At 47.9% G+C, this 22385-nt stretch overlaps 1 protein-coding gene, 1 long non-coding RNA gene and 1 pseudogene across 3 annotated transcripts in view, besides 1 other annotated feature; 1 reads left to right on the top strand and 2 right to left on the bottom strand.

Annotated features, from left to right (window-relative positions):
• The window catches only part of SLC16A2 (solute carrier family 16 member 2), a 112424-nt gene extending 103780 nt beyond the window's left edge, over positions 1–8644 (bottom strand). The window contains exon 1 of the mRNA NM_006517.5: positions 8070–8644. Within this exon, the coding sequence (NP_006508.2) occupies positions 8070–8499 (430 nt within the window). The 5' untranslated portion in view covers positions 8500–8644. The remainder of the gene's footprint in view (positions 1–8069) is intronic.
• On the top strand, positions 9489–18471 carry LOC105373252 (uncharacterized). Of its 2 annotated transcripts, XR_938445.3 has the most exons (3): positions 9489–9831; positions 14576–14734; positions 16748–16862. It is a non-coding gene; the product is annotated as an uncharacterized LOC105373252 (long non-coding RNA). The 2 variants fall into 2 exon arrangements; XR_007068267.1 differs by having other exon boundaries at positions 14576–18471.
• Positions 17575–18227: an enhancer, noted in NCBI's record as "NANOG-H3K27ac hESC enhancer chrX:73631745-73632397 (GRCh37/hg19 assembly coordinates)". NCBI's record gives its function as "activates a minimal SCP1, AML or CMV promoter by ChIP-STARR-seq in primed H9 embryonic stem cells {active_cell/tissue: H9 hESC(primed)}" and the evidence as "EXISTENCE:reporter gene assay evidence [ECO:0000049][PMID:30033119]".
• Positions 20001–20654, bottom strand: RPS7P14 (ribosomal protein S7 pseudogene 14; annotated as a pseudogene).

Below are 22385 nucleotides of genomic sequence, written 5' to 3'. Positions count from 1 at the left end.
TAGTGCCTCGCACAGACTTAATTGCTAAATGTAAAATAAATGTTGGCAATTATTATTACTATTACTACCACCACTATTATTATACTTATTAGGGTGCATATTAGGCAGATGTAAGGAGGTAAATGTCAACGAAACTCCACCGTGGAATGCAGCAGAGCAGCCATCATTAGGCTGTGTGCTTCACATTTTTTTCCCAGTAGCAGGGAAGGCTTATAAGAAGTCATCTCTATTCTTCTACCTGGTCTCCCCTAGCATTAGTGACACCTCCACACAAGGGACATGGGCCATGAACAAAGGAAGAGCTCTTTTCTTTGTGAGAAGCCCAGTGACCTGAACAAGTGACTGAACCTGTGACCTCAGTCTCATAGGCACCATGTTCTAAGTAACTGTGCTAACCGGCTTGGACAGACATCACACACCCTGCTGTACACACATACACATAGGTCTGGACACATGAGTGCATGCATATATCCTTCCAGTCTGGATAAGCGGGTAGGTGAGGAGATCCATGGGTTAAGTTGAGGAAAAAGATGGTATGGGCATTGCTTGTTTGGCAACATTTCCCTTTCTTTTCCCCTTCAGCCATGTAAAAGCAGAAGAGCAACTAAACTGGGAGCTTCACTCCCCCACCTCCACCCTCCCTGAAGGCACTTTTTTTTTTTTTTTGAGACAGGGTCTCACTTGTCACCCAGGCTGGAGTGCAGTGGTGTGATCATGGCTCATTGCAACGTCAACCGCCTTGGCTCAAGAGATCCTAGTATCTCAGCCTTCCAAGTACCTGTGACCACAGGCATGTGCCACTATGCCAGCCTAGTTTTTAAAAATTTTTTTTGTAGAGACGGGGTATCCCTATGTTGCCCAGGCTGGCCTCAAACTCCTGTGCTCAAGTGATCCTCCTGCCTCAGCCTCCCAAAATGCTGGGATTACAGGCTTGAGCCACTGGGCCTGGCCTATTTTTTTCTTTTTCTTTCTTTTTGTTTTTGAGACAGGTGCAGTGGTGATCATGGCTCACTGTAGCCTCAACCTCCTGGGCTGGAGCAATCTTCCTGTAAAGGCACTTTTGACTCTCGTTAGGACTTGAGTGTCTGTCTTCTCCCTTCTCTGACCCCTCTACAACCAATTGTGCAGCAGTTTTGGCAAGAAAATAGATGTCAGGGGCTCAAAATAGAATGAACCAGAAACACGGAAGCTACCAAAAACCAGTATGAAATCTCTGGAAGTTCAGCTGGCCCAGGAGATGGGGGACAATGATAGTCAGGATTTGAAAAGAAAGGAATACAAGTAATGACGACATTTGTTGAATATTATTGAGTAAGACTTTCTACAATACTACCTTCTGAGCTGGGTTACTAGGGCTGTGGAAAGAGGTGTAGAAGTGACAAAAAGGGTGTCATAGCAGCTATCTTTATGCGAAAATCCAGAGGTGATGGCTTCCACACTCTTGAGTGCTCCATCGAAAGTCACCCTTCACCCAGAAAGTGGAAAGTAAGAGAGGAAAGGAAGGGGAAAGGGGGAAGGGAGGCCTCTGTAGGATGTGTAGGAGTGGGCCTGTGACTCTGGCAGGAGTTGGGCCTATACAACATCCCAAACCCCAATTGTTCCTCTAACTGAGCAGTAGGAAGAAAAAGAAAAGAGGGAACAATACTGGGAAAAAAGGGTATGGCACATATAGCAAACGTGATAAAAAATGCACTGTGAAAGTAGGAGAAGCTGAGAAAATATGTGATTGGGACAGCCAATTTCATCCCTTCTCCCACCAATGCTGGAAACTGGAGCGAAGTTGAGGATAAAAGAGGGTGAGACTCCTAGGGTGAAGAGGCTGCACTTCCTCAAGCCACCCAAACAGGCCACATTCCCCATCCACAAGGAGGTGTCAAGCGATTTCACATTATCTACCATAGCACCCAGCTTCAGGCAGGTGATGAAATCTCTCTAGGTTTAGTCTTCTGTCACCCCTAAAGCCAGAGAGAGCTGGGGTTGCCTAAACCCGCTTCCCAGTAATATTTGAATACTGGGAGAGATACAGGAGGATGAAGGGAGAAAGAGACTTGCAATAAAGTTTCCCAGCCCCACTGCTGGGGAGTTGCAAATGGGTCCAGTTCAAGAGGTACAATCCAGGCTGGCCATACTCTTTTCATCACTCTCGCCTAGCAAGCTTCTTAGTCTGGTTCCTTTGCACTAGTACAGCATAATCTTTACAGAAGCCTCTGGTACACCTAATTCCATGAACAGATGGGAAATGACTTATTTCAGATGGAATATTCATAATCTATGGCTTAGGGTGTAGGGTATGGGTGTGTGTGTGTGTGTGTGTGTGTGTGTGTGCGCGCGCGTGCACGCGTGCGCATGCGCTTGCGCACATGTGTATATGTGTAGAACAAAGCCTTTTCTCTAGGGTTCATTCATTCAATCTCAAGTGAGACAACACCTTTCAAGACAGGAAATCCCACTCCGTCATTCACACAATCTGAAAAGAGTAGTTTTCATCTTTTCAAAATGCAACAAAACCATAAAATGAGGCTGGTGGGAAAAGCAGTGCATCTTCCTGGGAAACTGGTCTGCTCAAAAGGTTGATATGGCATCCTTTATATACTTCTACAAATGTTGACAGTCCAGCTGCTTGTTTACTCTTCATGGGCTGGAGGCAATACGGCCAATGACTTCCAAGGAAAAGGAAAGAGAGCTCTGTGCCTGCTACTTCCGTAGGCACACTCTCAGCTAAGCCCTGACGCTGCAGTTGACCAGGGATTGTGGGCATCTAATGGGCCTTCTCCAGGATCACAGTAGCAACCCTCCCCAACCCCACCACAGCAGGATCCAGGCAGTGGCCCTGAGCCAGCTATCAAAACGCCCTGTTTGAAGACCTCTGAAGGGAACCTCATTTAGGAATCCGTTTCCTCTGCTAGCTGGAAGTAACAGCAAACCAAGGTCACACTGACTATGCATTTCTGAGAAATAAGACTGTGCTGTGGGAAATTCAGTTTCAGAAGAGGGGTCCAAACTGAGGCTTGAGGAAATGTTTATAATTTAATACTTTTGAGGAACAGGTTCAAACGCTGGAAAACAGCAGCATACAGACCCACCCTGCTTGCCTGCCAAATCCAGGGAGTTCTCTTGGAGACCCAGCTCTATACCAATCAGGACACTCTGGAAGAAGCAGCTCCACATGCAGGGTTGCCCTTACATACTAGGTAAAAAGGATTGGGTAATTTTTAAACACATCTATACCCATGGGCAGCCCCATAGTCTTTAAATACAAATGACGTGGGGAAATGATGTATATAGGGCTTTTCCTTGCTTTCCCAATCTTCTCCCAATCCATCCTCACTGTCATTCAGGCAGCTTAACGAACTTTTATTTACTTAAATGAGTCAAAATGTATGACATATGAATAGTAAAGAATAAGATATCACATAATTTTAGAAGGATAGAATGGTAGGGCTAGAAAGTTTATTTAGTCAAACCCTCTCATTTTATAGATAGATAAACTGACATACAGAGAGGTGAAGTGCCTGTCCAAAGTCACAGAATAAGTTAGGGGCACAAGTTGTCTAAGTCACAGTTACTGCCTAGCTGGTATCACTGAGACTGCCAGCTTTGGGGAGTCCAGATTTGGCCCTGGGTCTTGCTTTTTTAGACTTAGAATGAGCATTTGAGGCCACTGTACAGTGATCCAGGCATCCAGCCTCAACCAGCTACCCCAACTCAAACAAGCATCCTCCTGGTTGGCCTCCAAATGACCCAATCTCTTATTCTCATCCCTTTCAGTATCAGTCATGGTCATAGTTCAAGATCCCATTTGGTTGGAAAGGGGGCAGGGGAATGACGTGAGAGATGCCTGGCCAAGGGCTGTGTGGCTTGAAGCACCACAGCAGGCGCTAAGCCAACCTGATCTAGCTCTGCTGGACAGTAGTCAAGAGCCTTCAGCTGAAGTCAAGAGATTGGCAGATTTGCTCAAAATACACTTTGCTCCCAAAGTCAGCAATTTAGTGTTACAGTCCAGTGAGACACTGAACCAAGCAATGAAAACCCCTAAGGTGAGAAGGAGAAAGACAGCCTACTCTACCTGGCCCCACCCAACCTTGGGACTCTTGGTTCACCCAAAGGCAGAGTGTATCATTCTTCCCCATGCCTAGAAAATTCTGTTTCCATCAGAGTGGACCATCAGCCTGAACTATCTTGTGCCTAGTAGTGAACCTTCCTGACCATTGTCCCTTTCTCTGGTGATGAGAGCCTCAGCCTTGACCCCCCTTGGGAGCTTACAAGGACCATGCTTATAAACTGCCCAGTAAAACAAAAATGCCTTCCATATTTTTTGGCTCAATGGTGGACCGGCAGTCAAGTTTTACTCTGGAGTACTTTTAAAAAGACTTAAGCATAGAGCCAATGTTAGCAACTCTGGCTTGTTCTGCCTTGTCCTCTGAACTCCCAACCCTAACCCTATTGCAGGTCCAACTCACTTAGGGTCCCAATATTGAGCTGGGGCCTACAATCAATGGCGTCTTGCTTCTCTTTCCCCTCTTTCCTCCAAAAGGCTTCCCTACCACCCCAAGAAGCTATGCTTGGGCCTTTACTTTCCACAGAATTGCCTGGTTGCCTCCTGTCCTGTCTGCTGTTTGGTCTGGGTTGGGGAACTCACAAATTTCCCATGATCTTGGCAAGAAATACAGGCTCATTTCCCTCCTGATCTTTTTCCTTTTTTCACTAAACCAGAGTTTGATCACTTGCCTCCCTCTCAGGGACCTTTTGCCTGCCAATCCACCCAAGCCTAGGACCCAGGGAAAGTTGGCTTTCCTCCAAAACTGGTGAAGAGAGGGGATAAGATATACAGCTGGTGACACCACAAAACTGTATACATCAAAGGGTCCACAAAAACTGCACATTGCATGCTCTAGTAAGGCCTGAATCCCATATCCCTTCTAACTTCTGTGGCTTTTTCCCATGCCCAGAGGCACTCTGATGTGGAGCTGTTCCTCAAACATCAAAACTACCTTTCTTCCCAGCTACTTGGGAGGCTGAGGCAGTAGGACTGCTGGAGGCCAGGAGTTTGAGACCAGCCTGGGCAACATAGCAAGAGTCTGTTTTTAAATAAATAAATAAATAAATAAAAATTAGCCAGGTGTGGTGGCGCATGCCTGTAGTTCTAGCTACTTGAGAAGCTGAGGTGGGACGATTGCTTGTGCCCAGGAGTTTGAAGGTGTCGTGAAATATGACTGCGCCACTGCACTCCAACCTGGTCAACAGAGCAAGATCCCATCTCTAAAAATAAAGTATAAGAAACTACCTTTCTGTGGGGCTTCCTCACAACAATCCCAATCATCTGCAGGACCTTCCACCCATTAAGCCACTCAACACAGCTTTAGGTCTGTGAAGATATTAGGCCTAGTCAAAGAGAAATTGGGTTACGAGGTGCCTCCAAACACCAAATTCATAGACTCTTAGAGATGGAAGTCATGTCAGATATTAATAAAAATGGACGATGCACCAAATTCCTTGAGCGTGGGGGTGTACATTCTGTTTCTCCCAGAATGGCTATTGGACAAATACTGGCTGATAAAAATGACACAAACTTCTATTAGCTTCTTCTATCCCTTTGAGACACCAGTGCTGTGGCACAGACGGCTGGGAAATTTTGAGTAAACAGCAGAAAGTGTCTGCAGGCAAAGACATTCAGAATCTCAGGATCTGAATGGTTGCTTGGGAAAGTTGAAGAGCTCAGCAAAGGTAGTACTGAGGATGAGATTTTCTAGGAGCTCCATGTGATAGGGTGTTCCTGACTTTTCCAAAATAAAAACTGTGGTGTCCCTAAGAACCTCTAGTATAAAAAATAATGTCAGTGAGTTCAAGATACACCACAGCAAGGACCCAAGCCAAAGTATTCTGAGACCCTAGGGACATACCAAATTCCTTTCTGTTTCTTCCTGACCTATACTCACTATAATTTAAACCAGTGACCTCAGCCCCTCAGTGAACCTGGTCTGTGTCAGAGTATGCACTAGCCACACCTCTGCATAGCCAACTGCACCCCCACCACCACCCCCACCCTCTAGCTGCACTGTGAGGTCTTGACCGGAAAGTCCCAGCCAGCCCTCCCCCTGAGTCCCCTATGATCACCTACTTTGAAGTCTGTTCCCCAGCAGTGAGCCTCTTCCTGGTAAAATAGTGGTTTTTCCAAGTTTTATTATACACTCCTAAGATCACAGCTCTAGGCCTCCTCACACCATATAAATGCCAGGGCCTAGCTTCAGCCTAGCCTCTACTGCTTCTCATCAAGTTTCACTCAGACTTTGCCACTCACTGATCCTGAAGGCCAACAGCCTGCCTTCAACCACAGGGCAATGCTCAGCAGGTGCCCTTGGAGGTAACCTAGGCAACAGCATGAGTCCCTACACTGCCTGCTTTCCCAGGAGCCCCTGAACTGCATCAAAGCAGGGAAAAAGGTGGTCCCAGGGGTGACTGTGGCAGCCATCTTCCCCGCAGAAGTTGCTCTACACTGTCCCAGGACCCCTCCATTCCAGCATCACAGTGGGCCTGGGTAGTCAAGAGACTTCCTTTGACAACCACTGACGCACTATCTTCATCGGGGCCTGCACACCGCTGCTGTGCCAATGGATCACAAGGTCTGAGGCACCAAGATCCCCAAAGCCCCTTCTGCCAGGGAAGTCCAGCAAAGCTGCAAACTAAAACCACAAGTCCTGGAGAGGGCCCAGGGAATCCACAGGTGGACACTCCAGAATTCAAGGTTTCTATGTTCACTTAATAATTCCCAGGTCCCCTCAAATGGCAGTAGAAATATGTGGGGGTTGGAGGTTGGCGAGAGGATGGAACTCCTCAGTCCGAGGGCAACACTGCGAAAAGCCACATATTCTGAGTTGTGAACTTGGGGCTGGTGGCAAGAGTCGAGCTGTCCTGAGGAGCCACGAGAGGGAGCAAGCCTTGCCAGAGAGGGCATCCCAATCCCCCGTCTTCGTCTGAATCCCTCACCAGAACTGCTGAGGGATTTCGCCAGCGGCTTTGCTGGGAAAGCGAGATGGTTCCTCTGACTTCTCCCAGCTCACAGGCGGCCTCAATGAGAAGAGCGCACACGCCTGGGGTCTTGCGTCCACTGGCCTGGAAAGCGAGGGCTATGCCCCCCAACTCTGTCTGAGATCAAGTCAGCTCCAGGGGAAAGCTGGAATGGCGGGTCTGGCACTCAGGCTGTAGGCCGAACGAGGCACCCCACCGGTAGCAGAGAGGCGCGGGTTGCCGGGGAAGGCAGGGCTGAAGTTGGGGGCGGTGCGGAGTGAGCAGCAGGGCCCAGCCTGCCTGCGGCCTCACGCCTCTCTGGCAGGAGACTGCGGAGACCGCCTCCCCGCCCGCTCTGGGGCTCGGCTCATAGGGCACGGAGATCCATTCACTCCCGCGGGGCGGCAGAGGACTGCCGGGCCCAGCTGGGCCGTAACGGCGGCGGCCAGAGACGCACTCACACCCCGACTCGAACTCCCTCCCTCCCTTTCTCTCTTGCAGACACGCACGCCTGCCATGTGTTTGACTCTTCGCTCATAGTCATCAGGATTCCTAAAGTGTTTTTAACAGAAAACACCTCCGTTTCCCCAAAGGAACCGGGGGGCTGCTGCGGAGATCAGCGGTACAGTGCTTCTCTCAGAGCCCGCCCCGCCTCTCAATTCTCTCCTCTCCTCATGACTTCTCCCCACCTCCAAAAAAAAAAAAAGTCCTGCAAATATTTTCCCCCAGCACACAGGGGCAAAGGTACCTTAAACCTGAAAGGTGCATTTAGATTTGTCCCAGGGCAAAAAAAAGTCCATTGCTTGCCAAGGATCAATGAATGTCCCAGTTCGTACCCCCGGGACGCCTTGCACCTAGTCTCCCCAGTCCAAGCTGCCCAAAGCCCCGCAACCCGCACCCTAGGAGAGCCATGGAAAGGGGCAAGGGGCAAGGGGTAAGGGGTAAGGGGAGGAGTCGGAGAGGCGCGTTGGAGGGGCGCCTCGGACCGGGAGGTATGGGGTCGGTGGCAGCGGGAGCGGCCAACCTTGCCCAAAATGCCAAGTGGGGCGTGCGGGGCCACTCACCTGCTTGGAACTCCACTTGGCGATTTTTTTCCTTTTCCTCCTCTAGCAGCATGGAGTAGAGGATCCCGACAGAGTTATGGATGCCGAAGATGGAGCCGTTGCACCAGGTGGCAGCGAACACCACCACCCAGCCGAAGCCACCTTCGGGAGGCTGGAAGCCGCGCGCGGTGCCGCGGGTCTCTACCGTAGGCGTGGGCTCGGGTTCGTGCACCCGCTCGGACTCGAACTCCAGCTCCGGCAGGGGTGCGGGGTCCGGTAGGGGCTGGGGCTCCGGCTGGGGCTCGGGCGGGGGCACTGGCACGGGCTCGGGCTCGGGCTCAGGCTCCGGCTCAGACTCCGGCTCTGGGCTACCCACCGGCTCCTGCTGTTCCTGGTCTGCCTCCTGCCAGGGCCCCTTTGCTTCCTCGCTCGCCTGGCTTTGCAGCGCCATCGCGGCGGGGGGACTGTGGCTGCTTGGGCCAGAGGAGCCGCTTTGTGGCTGGTACTTGTTTCTGCTGCTGCAGCTGCTGCTGCTCGGAGGGCTGCTGCTGCCGCTGCCGCTGCCTCCTCCTCCAGGCTCCGCGCCCCAGCTGGCCAGCCCGTCCCGCGACAGACGGTCCCTCGAGCCCTCTCCTCCTCCTCCCACGTCCAACCCCCCTCCTCCTCTCCCCATGTCATCTCTCTCTCCTCCCCCTCCTCCACACCCCCCACCTCTTCCTCCCTCAACAGGCAGCCGCTACAGCCTCGCTCTTCTCCCCAGCCCTTCCTCCTCCTTTTACTCGCCTACCTACTCCAGCCGCCACTGCCTCCCCCAGCTCCCTTCCCAAACTACTGAACCCTGTTCTTGCCCGGATGCCCGTTAGAGGAAAAGTTAAAATGGAAAAAAGGAAGCACAAACTATCCTGTTCTCCTGCCCTCTTTTCCCCGCAGGCTCTAGAACCGACACTGATCAACCCCGAGCCTCGGGAAGACCCCTCCTATTTTTTGCTCCCATACCCTCCTTCCTCACAAGCAGCCCGCAACTGAGGTGGCACCGGGGACCCTAGGACGACAGCTGGCCCGCGAGGAACCCCACCCTGCCCTCAGGAGCTCCCATGTCCCTCCTTGGACTTGAGGAGGACGACCTGAGGGGACAGCCTGGGCCTCGGACAGCGGGTGGACACAATCTTCTCGAGCCCGAGGACTCGGCCCCCCGCGGTCCTGCGCACCCCCGGGAGTCTCCCCCTGCCCCCGCTCTTCCCGGCAAATCCCTGGCGGCCTGGGAGGGGAGGAGGCGGCCATGCAGCGAGGCCCGCCCCTCCGGGCAGTCAATCAGGGCTTTGTTTGCGCCAACCTGGAGCCCGGAGGAGCCTCAGAGGGCCGGGTCTGGGCCGGGCCAGGGCCGGGCCGGGTCTGGGCCGGGCCAGGGCCGGGCCAGGGCCGAGTGTGGGCCAGGAGCCGGGCCAGGAAGGGAGGGAGGTGGCACCAGTGGGGGCCGGGCCCAGGCCCAGTCGGGAGCCGAAGCTCAGTTCAAGCTCCTCCCGACAATCTGTCCCGGACTTAGGAGGAACGAGTTGGAGTCGGGTCCAGCCGCCAGTTTGGGATTGGGCTGCCCCGCCCCCGATATCTCGGCTGGGCTGGTCCCTCAGGCCTCGGCCGCGGCTTTTCAGGTGCTGGAGACTCAGCGGAGCTGCAAGCGGACGGATGTCTTCCCAGCACCCACCGCCCCCTTCCGCCCACCTCAGGCATGCAGACATGGGAGTCCCACTGTATGTCGCAGACTGAGGCCCCAGCCCCACTGAGGGTAAGGGAGAGTTTGTTCCCCAGGAAGCGCGCCGGGTCAGGGAGAAGGAAAGGTGGGGGATCTGTCTTTCTGGTGGCCGGGCACTCAGCAGGGGTGCGCAGGGGTGCCCAGCCTCAGCCCTCAGGGCCCGCTCGGCGATACCGGGAAGCTCTGCCTCCCCTAAGGGTCTACGCGTCTAATGCACTAAACGTGAAGTCGTGGTGTCGTTACCAAGCTACTCGGCTTCCACGAGCGGGCGGGCGAGTGGCAAGACCTTTCTACCCTGCATCTCATTAACCCTCCTGATAAGTGAAAGACTGCATAGCCAGAGGTGATGCAGCTCCGGGGCTGCGTGGCTGCGCTAGATGCCTGTAAATACAGTCATTAAGCACCTGAGGGCTGGCGGAGCTGGGTGGAAGGATATAGACGTCCTGAGGGGCTTGCGCTGCCATATGAGAGGAATCAGCCAAATTCAAAAATCACAGGGCCACGCCACTCAGCAGGGAAGGCATTGCCCGAACAGAGCACGTCCCTTATTGCCCTAAGGTTTATTATTACCTGCTTTTTTGCACGAAAACTGAGGCTCAACGAGGTCAAGGCATTTATTAGCCTAAGATCATGGGCCAAGTCAAGGACAAGCTAGAATTCAAGGCAGGTCTCCATATAACGAGAAGCTTCATGCTCCCTGTGTTTCACCAAAAGAGTCTAGGATTTGAGGCTCCCTGGGAGGAGACAGAGGAGGGAAGGCAGGATCTGACTGCACTATCACAGTGGGCTTCTGGAAGAGGTGGTGTTCAAGATGGGCCTGGAATTTTTTTTTTCTTTTTGAGACAGTCTCGCTCTGTAGCCCAGGCTGGAGTACAGTGGCGCCATCTCGGCTCACTGCAACCTCCGATCCCTGGTTCAAGCGATTCTTCTGCCTCAGCCTCCCGAGTAGCTGGGATTACAGTCGTGCGCCACCACACCCGCTAAGTTTTGTATTTTTAGTAGAGATGGGGTTTCACCATGTTGGCCAGGCTGGTTTCAAACTCCTGACCTCAAATGATCCACCCGCCTCGGCCTCCCAAAGTGTTGGGATTACAGGCATGAGCCACCGTTCCTGCAAGGCCTGGAATGTTGAGTAGGATTTTAAAAGGCCAAGGGTAGGGGAAGGTGGTCCCCTACATCAGAGCATGCTTTGAGCTCAAAGCACAGAGCTATAGAGTCTACTCACAGAAAGAGGGAAGTGAAGGCTAATCAGGCCAGAAAGTTAATATGTATGCCGTCTGCCTCTCCTAGGAAACGTTTACATTTTAATAAAAATTCATAATGCTTCAGCTACGAGGAGTGACAAGTCATGGACACTATGGGCACCGGGGCTTAAGGTCTGCTTTTTAGTCAGGGGTCTCCCCATACATATGACCACCTGTTGCCCCAGGAGAACACTAGTTTGGTTTCCACTTGCAGGGAACCTGATTGAAGAAGACCCTAAAAATAGTTATTTCCTACCCCGGAACTAGGAATAGACCCTGGAATCTTGCATCCATCTAGATTCTTACTATCTTGAATTCTACTTCCCTCATTGTTTAAACTGGTTTTTAGATCACTGGAATGGGAGTATGGGTGGGTGATGACCCTCACTGAGAATCTCCTGTGAATCTAGCACTGTGCTAGGCCCTTTATATATGAGATCTTATATAATCTTCATAACATTACTATAAGATTGGGATGATTTGTTCCCATTTTGTAAATGAGGAAATGGAGGCTCCAAGAGGCTAAGTTACTTGTTTTAAGTCTACAAAGCTAGTAAGAGGTAGAACAGGGATCTTTGCTCATTTGTGTGGGTTTCAAAGTATGTGCCCCACCCAGAAGACAGAATTATGTAACTGCCATTTCACCATTCTAGTAACATATGCAGTACTACCATTTCTCCCCTCTTTAGAAGATACTTTATAACGGCTAAATCACTGGCATCAGGAGACCAGGGTTTTAACCTTGGTTCTACCGCTGCATGCCTGTATGATCCTAAGCAATTTCTTTTCCCTTTCTGAGCCTCAGTTTATCTGCAAACTACTTTGCAGAGTTACTAAATGCCATGCTAAGAGGTAAACGCTTTATTTTTGATATATAATACAAGATCACCACTGTTTTGAGTAGGAGAGTAACATCAGAACTGCATCTTAGAAAGAATATTGTGGTGACAGTTTAGATCAGGGGTCCCCAAACCGCTGGCCACAGACTGATACCAAGACCATGGCCTGTGAGGAACCAGGTCACACAGCAGGAGGTGAGCGGCAGGTGAGTGAGCATTACCACCTGAGCTCTGCCTCCTGTCAGATCTGCCGCAGCATTAGATTCTCATAGGAGTGCGAACCCTATTGTGAATTGCGCATGCAAGGGATCTAGGTTGCGCATTCCTTATGAGAATCTAACTGCTTGATGATCTGAGGTGGAACGGTTTCATCCTGAAACCATCCCCCTCAACCCCTGTCCCGTGGAAAAATTGTCTCCCACAAAACCAGTCCCTGATGCCAAAAAGTTGGCGACTGCCGGTTTAGATGATGGCATGGAAAGATAAGATGTAAGGAAACGAACCAATAGACTAAGTCAAAAAAAAATGTTGATGATCTGGAACGGGCACAGTGGCTCATGCCTGTAATCCCAGCACTTTGGGAGACTGAGGCGGGCAGATCACTTGAGGTCAGGAGTTCGAGACCAGCCTGGCCAACATGGTGAAACCCCATCTCTACCAAAATTACAAAAATTAGCTGGGCATGGTGGAGGCTGAGGCAGGAGAATGGCTTAAACCCAGGCGAGAGAGGTTGCAGTGAGCCGAGATCGAACCACTGCACTCCAGCCTGAATGACAGAGTGAGACTCTGTCTTAAAAAAAGAAGAAAAAAAGGTGATCATCTGAAATAGGGCACTGACTATGGAAATGGAGACAAAGGGATATCTCTGTCAATCATTGTTATGGTAGAGTTGATAGAACAGATTTGTGTAATGAGAGAAAGGGAAGAAACTGACATTTCTTGCTTGAGTAAAGGAAAGGATGGTATAGTGTTAATGGAGATTGGGAATTAGGAGCTGAATCAGGTTTGAAGTGCCTGTGGCTTCCTGTCTCTTTTCCCCTGGCCCCCAAACAATCCTGTCAATTATAGCTCTAAAGTACGATTTTATTCATGACACTCCTCTACTTTACAAATCTTCAATGATTGTCCATTTGACTTTCAAGTTTAAATTCCTCAGCCAGGCATGAAAGGTCCTCTGTGGTTTGGGACCAGCCTCATTTGTTCATTCATTCATTCATTCATCATTTACTGAGAACCTCTATGTGTCAGGCTCTGTACTGTATACCAAACGCAAACATAAAAGACCTGGTGCCTGTTTCTGAGGGGCTCATATTCAACCACTCTAGCATTACTCCCTGTCATTTTCTTCCCACCCTTTTCTCCCTTTCATACCATGCTGCAAACACACTGGTTAGCCACCATTCCATGACTTATGAGCGTCTGCTGGTCTCTCGGCCTTCACCAACCATTCTCTTAACTATCTTCCAGTTGAGATCCCATACCGTTCTTGACTCTCCAGAGTAGGTTAAACAAAACAGATAGCAAAGTTAGTCTTGAACTGAGGAAGCATGTCACTTGCCTTTCTCATACCACTCAGCCATTCATTTCCCAAATAGTTATCAAGCAACTATGTGTACCATTCACTATATTAGGCACTGGGGACATACAATGGTTCTTGTCCTCATGGAGCTTACATTGTAGTAGAAACTGTTAATAATTATAACTACCATTTATTGAATGTAACTCTACTAAATTGGGTGAAGACATTTTGAGATAGAAGTATATAAAAGATGAGACAAGGTTGAGAGTAAAGTTGTAGAAATAGGGCTAGTGTCCTAAGATGCATGAAGTTTCCTCTATAAATCTCTAAATCATGCTTGATCAATAAACATCATCAGCAACAACAGATCTTTAGAGAATACTACTACCATGTGTAGATTAATCAGCTTGGGTTATGCTCACAACAAGTAAGTAAGGTGTGGCTCCTGTAGCCCTTTACATTATTTTACTTGTCTGACTGTGGACCTTGGAAAAACCCTAGCAGATGTCTCTCATTCATATTGCAGGTTACAGAATGTGCTTTTCTTCTGTCTCTAACAGAAATGAGCCCACAATGGAATCATTCCAATTACTTATGCCCTTGATTATTCACTTTAGGGGGTGAAGCAGAGCAGTGGTTCCCTAACCTGGTTGCACACAAAAATCCCCTAGAGACTTTTCTAAAAGCACCAACTCCAAGGTCCCGCTCTACCCTTGCTGAATTGGAATATCTTGGGGTGAGACCCAGGAATACATAGATTGGACAAGGCCCCTAGTAATATTAATGCACTGCCAGGTTTGGAAACCAGAAAACCAAAACAATGCTTCCCCAAAATTTCAATCTGAAAGACCAGTAAAATTTCTCTAAAGTTTCTCCAGAAACTTTGGGGATCAACGTAATGCCAACTTTTTGTCATGTAAGGACATGTTTCTTCACTGTCATGTTATTATTGAAATGATATTTTAACATCAAAATCTAGAAAGTGTGGAAAGAACAGTCTTTTACTCAGAAAAGGCTTTCTTAAGATATGTCAGTTGATAACAATTTTTCTCATGTGTGTCAGCACACTGATGAAAATGCCATAGACTGTCATGGGTATGCAGCTTAGTGCTTGGGATTCCATGGACCAGATGACCTCTGAAAGTCCTTTCTACCCCTGAAATTGTCTATTTTAGGCAAAAGGCACATCTTTGCTTTGGGCCTCTCCTATTCTCCAATAGGATTTTCCAGCTGGAATGGAATTCACTAGGTCATTCACATCATCTCCCTGCCCTGTGCCTAAATCATTCTAACTACTTGAGAATGGATGATATATTGAGGGCATTCTCAAGAAGGTGAGTACATAATCTTTCTATCCTTTACTCCTTTTCTTTATTCATCTTTATAAGGGTAACTTCAGAGCTCTGATGACACAGCATCACCTTGGATTCAAGAGCCAACTGGGATGGATTGTGAGAAGGAGCCAGGGTGCTCTGATAGTGGAAAAGAAGTCCAAAGACAGAGAAGGCTTTGGTTTTGTTACCTGTAATCAGGAAGAGTCCTGATAGGAACCCACATTACTGGGAAATGGATTTGAATGTCAACACCTTTAGATGGCGAAAGTGGAAGCATGGAGGGTAAAGGATATTGGACATAGCCTGATTTCAGCTTGAGCCAGAAGGCTATTCATAATAATAGGTGCATTAAAAACAAATCAATTGGCTATGTGCATGGAGCCTGCTTCCTGAATGCCAAGGAAGCAGTCTGCTTAATAGTTTGTCTATTATTAGAGCAGGCATAGAGGGGGAAAGATGACGGAAGCAGCAGAAGCATTATGGAAAAGAAAGAGATAGAAAATACTTAACCCTCTGAGGGTAGTATAGAAGAGCAAAGCTTGAACTGAAAGTATGTAATGTATTGGTTTCTTGACCCTATCCAAGGGAGAAATTTAATGAGTTTTATTTTAGCCTTTTATTAATTCATTTAAAAAACTCATTTAAGAGATATTTATTGAAAGCCAATTATGTGCTAAATATTGTGCTAAGAATTTCCCCATTCTGAAAAGTGGAACCCTTGCAGGACTGGAACAGAGGTGTCTTGGGTACATGGTTACGATGCAGTATAAAGATGGGCTTTGCCCTTATTACATCTCATTCTCTTCTGATAGACTGACCTTGGGCATAGAATCAGCATTATTTGTTTTCGTATCCTTAGCATTTAACACGATGCCTTACACAAAGAAGGTGCTCAGTACGTAGATAAATAAATAGATGTCGCTACTTGATGTAATAAAGCCCTGGTTTCTTCATTCAGAAACAATAGAGATGAGGCCTATCTTTTAGGTTTGTTGTGAGGATTAGAAGTAAAGTATGGAAAGCACCTAGTACAGCACCCATCATGTGCTCAATAAATGTTAGCAATAAGATAGTTTGAAGATTGCTTTTATTGAAAAGAGAAAAGAAAACCTGATATGTTCTTTGGCATTAGTCCAATTCCAAAATCTAAAATAGCGCATCAGAGCTGGAAGGGACCTTCTACAAAGTCCAAACTCCTCATTTTACAGATGGGAAAACTGAAGCCTAAAGAGGGAAAAGGATTTACTTAATGTTACATCTAAATTATCTACACTTTTCCTTGTAATTACCTCAAATCATTGTGGAAGGTGATATAACATATAAACATACATATGAGCTAGGGACGTCATTTAATAAATGAGGAAATTGACATGGAAAAAAGTTAAATAATTTGCCCAAGGACCTATGATTCACACTATAGCAGTCTGGCTTCAGAGTCTGTGATTTTAACCGTTATACGTCTCTATTACAGCACTTATAAAATTATATTAAAATGACCCATTTGACATGTCTCCTCACTAGAACTTAAGCTCCTTGAGGGCAGGAAGTGTGTGATTTCCACTGTGGATAGTTATTTATTTATTTAACAAATATGTATTGGGCAACTATTATACACCAGGACTTGCTAGCCCCAGAGAGCAGGCCTTATCTTTGAAGCCAGATTATCTAGCTCTGTAATGCTATTGGTGTTCATTTTCCTTCTGTTATCGCCTTCTCTTTACTAATGTCTTATTGAGCGTTTCAGCTTAGTCTTGTCTGTTCTAAGGAGCACGAGGTTCTGTGCCCATGCCTGGACCAGGCTGTTAAAGGAGAATAGCCAGTGAGAAACTTCATGGGGAAAGTGAAGTGCCAGAGATATGATAAAATCTGGAGTTCCTCACCATTTGGAGAGGTTTCTTTTAGCAAAAGTTTTGGGGTATTGCATTTGGCAGGATTTTTTTTTAATTCAATTTAGAAAATGTCCTGGCCTTACAGTACCCTTTTGCCTATCTCCCACTCATTTGGCCTTCTAAGAAGTCACAGTCCTACCTCTACCTCTACCTCTACCTCTACCCTCTTTCCACGGTCTCCCTCTGATGCCGAGCCGAAGCTGGACTGTACTGCTGCCATCTCGGCTTACTGCAACCTCCCTGCCTGATTCTCCTAACTCAGCCTGCCGAGTGTCTGCGATTGCAGGCGCGCGCCGCCACGCCTGACTGGTTTTCATATTTTTTTGGTGGAGACGGGGTTTCGCTGTGTTGGCCGGGCTGGTCTCCAGCTCCTAACCGCAAGTGATCTGCCAGCCTCGGCCTCCCAAGGTGCCGGGATTGCAGACGGAGTCTCGTTCACTCAGTGCTCAATGTTGCCCAGGCTGGAGTGCAGTGGCGTGATCTCGGCTAGCTACAACCTCCACCTCCCAGCCGCCTGCCTTGGCCCCCCAAAGTGCCGAGATTGCAGCCTCTGCCCGGCCGCCACCCCGTCTGGGAAGTGAGGAGCGTCTCTGCCTGGCCGCCCATCGTCTGGGATGTGAGGAGCCCCTCTGCCCGGCCGCCCAGTCTGGGAAGTGAGGAGCCCCTCCGCCCGGCAGCCGCCCCGTCTGAGAAGTGAGGAGCCCCTCCACCCGGCAGCCGCCCCGTCTGAGAAGTGAGGAGCCCCTCCACCCGGCAGCCGCCCCATCTGGGAAGTGAGGAGCGTCTCCGCCCGGCAGCCGCCCCGTCCGGGAGGGAGGTGGGGGGTCAGCCCCCGCCCGGCCAGCTGCCCCGTCCGGGAGGGAGGTGGGGGGTCAGCCCCTGCCCGGCCAGCCGCCCTGTCCGGGAGGGAGGTAGGGGGTCAGCACCCGCCCGGCCAGCCGCCCCGTCTGGGAGGTGGGGGGCGCCTCTGCCCGGCCGCCCCTTCTGGGAAGTGAGGAGCCCCTCTGCCCGGCCACCACCCCGTCTGGGAGGTGTACCCAACAGCTCATTGAGAACGGGCCATGATGACGATGGCGGTTTTGTGGAATAGAAAAGGGTGAAAGGTGGGGAAAAGATTGAGAAATCAGATTGTTGCTGTGTCTGTGTAGAAGGAGGTAGACATGGGAGACTTCATTTTGTTCTGTACTAAGAAAAATTCTTCTGCCTTGGGATGCTGTTGAACTATGACCTTACCCCCAACCCTGTGCTCTCTGAAACATGTGCTGTGTCCACTCAGGGTTAAATGGATTAAGGGCAGTGCAAGATGTGCTTTGTTAAACAGATGCTTGAAGGCAGCATGCTTGTTAAGAATCATCACCACTCCCTAATCTCAAGTACCCAGGGACACAAACACTGCGGAAGGCCGCAGGGTCCTCTGCCTAGGAAAACCAGAGACCTTTGTTCACTTGTTTATCTGCTGACCTTCCCTCCACTATTGTCCTATGACCCTGCCAAATCCCCCTCTCCAAGAAACACCCAAGAATTATCAAAAAAAAAAAAAAAAGAACAGAAAGAAAACCTCTGTGCTTTGGGCTTTACCACTTATTGGGTTTGTGGCTTTTTGCAAGTTATATAACATGTCTGTGGTGCAATTATCTCATATGTAATCATAATTGTACTTCACACAATTGTCATAGAGATTTTCTGAGATAAATGATAATAATAATTGCTAACACTTCCTGGGCACTTACTATGTATCTGCTGTGTTCTAACCCATCAGGTGAGGCACTGTTTTCATTTCATATAAAGGGATTAACATTGAAAAAAAAAAAAAAGAAGTCACAGTCTAAATAAAAAGATCAGTCATTATATACATCCAGAAAGATAACTCCCCTGGTACCAGGTCATCAGTAGACACTAACTGCTAAAGAGGCCATAGGAGGGAAAGATGAGGGGAGACCTAGGGGTGGGGCACGGTGGGGCTCAGGATAGCTGAGGAAAGGCTAGTAGTGTATGTACTTTGTGTACCTGCATTCTCAGACCCTGGCCCCCCTCTTTAAGAGCGACTTCTCTGGCTCTAAGACAGCCACAGACCTAGGGCCTGAGGAACCCGAAGACCCTTGCACAGTAAGTTTCTAGACAGCAAGAGCTCGAAGAATGAAACATTGCTGGGCCTTAAATCTAGAATCAGGTATCAGTAGCTGAGCTGGAGTAGAGTAACTAGTATGCTCTGTCCCAAGGGCCATGTTTCAAGTCCAACTTGCTGATCTTGCAGATGAGGAAAGCCAGTTAAAGGGCAAGAAAAAATCATTCAAATGGATCGGGGCAAGGGGGCAAGGGGCAGGGGCAAGAGAGTTGGGTGGAGTGGAAGGACAAGGAGGAGGCAGTTTATTTTTCTCCTTCAGTATATATTTACAAAGTTCCTTCTGTGCTACAAAGTTCCTTCTGTGCCTAATTAAACTGAGTTTTTCCAGGGCCTCTTTTTGGATGCAGGAGGGGACAAAGGAAGAAGAGTGCATTTTGTTGAAACCTAGAGATATTAATTGACTCACCCAAGGACATACTGTGAATGGGACCAGAACCTTTGTCTCCTTACCTCCTAACTGCCTACATTTCTCCATGCCATACTACCTCCTATTATGTCATACACAGCTTAAAAATCTAAGATGATTCTTCACTGTTGAAAGGGTAAAGTCCAAACTCTTGTGCCACCTTGGGCCCCTAATTATCCTGACACTGTTAAACTCTCCAATTGGTTCCTAGACTACCTCCTACAATGAGATTTAAGCCCAAGTCTCACAGAGTTCTCTCCCACGTCACTGTCCCCAAGTGCTCTTGGTCTTCTTTTTCTTAACTGCTCCCTCTGCCCCTGCAACAAATTAAAAGAATTTTACAGTGATCACTCATATACTCACCACTGGATTCTACCATTAACAATTTCCTGGCTGGGCGCGGTGGCTCACGCCTGTAATCCCAGCACTGTGGGAGGCCGAGGTCAGCAGATCACCTGAGGTCAGGCGTTCGAGACCAGCCTGGCCAAGATGGTGAATCCCCTCCTCTACTAAAAAATACAAAAAGTAGCAGGGCATGGTGGCACATGCCTGTAATCCCAGCTACTTGGGAGGCTGAGGCAGGAGAATCACTTGAACCCGGGAGGCGGAGGTTGCAGTGAGCCAAGATCATGTCATTGCACTCCAGCCTGGGTGACAGAACAAGACTCCTTCTCAATTAAAAACAAAGAAACAAACAAACAAAAAAACTATTTCCAATATTTGCTTTATCACATATCTGTCCATCTATCCACCTTTCCATTGATCGAGCCACTTATTTTTATACATTTCAAAGTAAGTTGAAGATATCAGCACACATCCCTCCCCCAATACTTATGTATTTTTTTTTACTGTGAATATATATTTTATTTAGTCATTTTTTGTTTACAATTGAAACTCTGGGAATTCAAAATTAACATCCTTGCCCATGAGCTTCTTATAGACACCAGAAAAGGGTTCAACCTTGTGTTCCACATTGTTCTGCTGTGCTTCGTCCAAATGAATCTTTATGAGGTGGCTGCCATCCAGTTTCACGTGGATTCTCTTGCCCACAATTTCGCTTGGGAAGACCAAGTCCTCAAGGATGGCATCATGCACAGCTGTGAGAGTACAGCTCCTGGGAAGCTTTTGCTTATTGTTTGTACAGCTTTTTTGAGTTGGCTTAGGCAGAATTCTCCTCTGAGCGATAAAGAAAATATGCTTCACTGAACTTTTTCTTCAATTCGCGTACTAGCTGGACTTGGGTTTTCTGGAAAGATTTCAGTTGAGGAACGGGAACAAAGATTATGATAGCTTTCCGACCACCACCAACTTCAATTTCCTTGGCTGCCGTAATATTCAGCTCCCAGAGCTGAGCCTTGAGGTCCAAGTTCATCTCCAGCTCCAGAAGAGCCTGGGAGATTCCGGATTCAAACTCATCCGGCTTCTCGCCATTGGGCTTCACGATCTTGGCCCTTGAACTGAACATGGTCTTCTCCTTGCTGAGCGCTGGCGTAGGAAGAGTGCATGTATATTATTAACTAGAGTTCCATTTTTTGTAATTGTTTTCTTTTGAGCTAAAATTTACATACAATGAAATACAAAATCTTTTTTTTTTTTTTTTTTTTTTTTTTGAGACAGAGTTTTGCTCTGCTGCCCAGGCTGGAGTGCAGTGGCACTATCTCTGCTCACTGCAACCTCCGCCTCCTGGGTTCAAGCAATTCTCCTGCCTCAGCTTCCTGAGTAGCTGGGATTACAGGCGCACGCTGCCACGCCTGGCTAATGTTTGTATTTTCAGTAGAGATGGGGTTTTGCCATGTTGGCCAGGCTGGTCTCAAACTGCAGATCTCAGGTGATCTGCCCACCTTGGCCTCCCAAAGTGCTGGGATTACAGGCATAAGCCACCGCGCCTGGCCTGAAATACACAGTCTTAAGGGAATATTTGCTGAATTTTGACAAAGGCATACACCTGTATAACCCAAACCCCTGTCAAGATATTAAACACTACCATCATTCTCAGAAACTTCTCTCATGCCCCTTCTCAGTCAAATTCACCCTCACCTCATCCTACAAAGAGAACCACTACGGATTAGTTGTGTATGTTCCATATAAATGGAATCATACAGTAGGTAGGTAGCATTTTGAGTCTGGGATCCTTCACAGCATAATGTTTTTGAGATTCATCCATGTTGTGCTGAATACAATTCCATTGTATTTGTTTATCCATTCACCAGCTGATGGACGTTTGGGTTGTTTCTAGTTTGGGCCTATTAAAAATAAAGCTGCTAAGAACATTTATGTGCAAGTCTTTTAATGGACATATTTTCATTTCTTTTGGGTAAATACCCAAAACTGGAACTGTCAGGTCATAGGTTAAGGTGTATGTTTAACTACATAAGAAACTGCCAGAAATGATTCAAAAGATGTTCCACTTCACACTCCCACCAGCAATACATAAGCGTTCTAGTTACTCCACATCCTCACTAATGCATAGTATTTTCATTTTTAAAACTAAATTTAGTCATTCTAGTGGGGTGTAGTGATTCTAACTTGCAGTTCCCTGATGACTAATAATGTTAAGTACTTTTTTTCATATCCTTATTGGCCATTCATACATCTCTGTTCAAATACTTTGTGCATTTTTAAATTGGGTTGTTTGTTTTATATTATTCAGTTGTACATATCCTTGATACCATTCCTTTGTCAGATATGTTTTACAAAAATTTTCTCCCAGTCTATTGTTTGTCTATTTTAGAAGAAATATATTTAATATTAAAATACAAGGGCCAGGTGCGGTGGCTCACACTTGTAATCCCAGCACTTTGGGAGGCTGAGGAAGGCAGATCACCTGAGGTCAGGAGTTAGAGACCAGCCTGACCAACATGGGGAAACCCTGTCTCTACTGAAAATACAAAAATTATCTGGGCATGATGGCGGGCGCCTGTAATCCCAGCTACTCGGGAGTCTGAGGCAGGAGAATTGCTTGAACCTGGGAGGCAGAGGTTGCGGTGAGCAGAGATTGCACCATTACACTCCAGCCTGGGCAACAGAGCGAGACTCCGTCTCAAAAAAAAAAAAATTAAAATACAGGATAGAAAGTGACATAGACCACACAAATACATGGGTAAAATTATGTGAGGAGACAATACAGTATTTACAAACCATATATCAGGCAAATAATTTGTATATAAAGAACTCTCAAACTCAATAGTAATTTTCTTGACAATGTCTTTTGATGAGCAGACATTTTAAATT

This window comes from Homo sapiens, chromosome X (assembly GCF_000001405.40).
Source record: "Homo sapiens chromosome X, GRCh38.p14 Primary Assembly".
In the NCBI taxonomy this organism is placed as follows: Eukaryota; Metazoa; Chordata; class Mammalia; order Primates; family Hominidae; genus Homo; species Homo sapiens.
The sequence above is the reverse complement of the archived record's forward strand: the minus strand, read 5'-3'. Positions and strand labels throughout refer to the sequence as shown.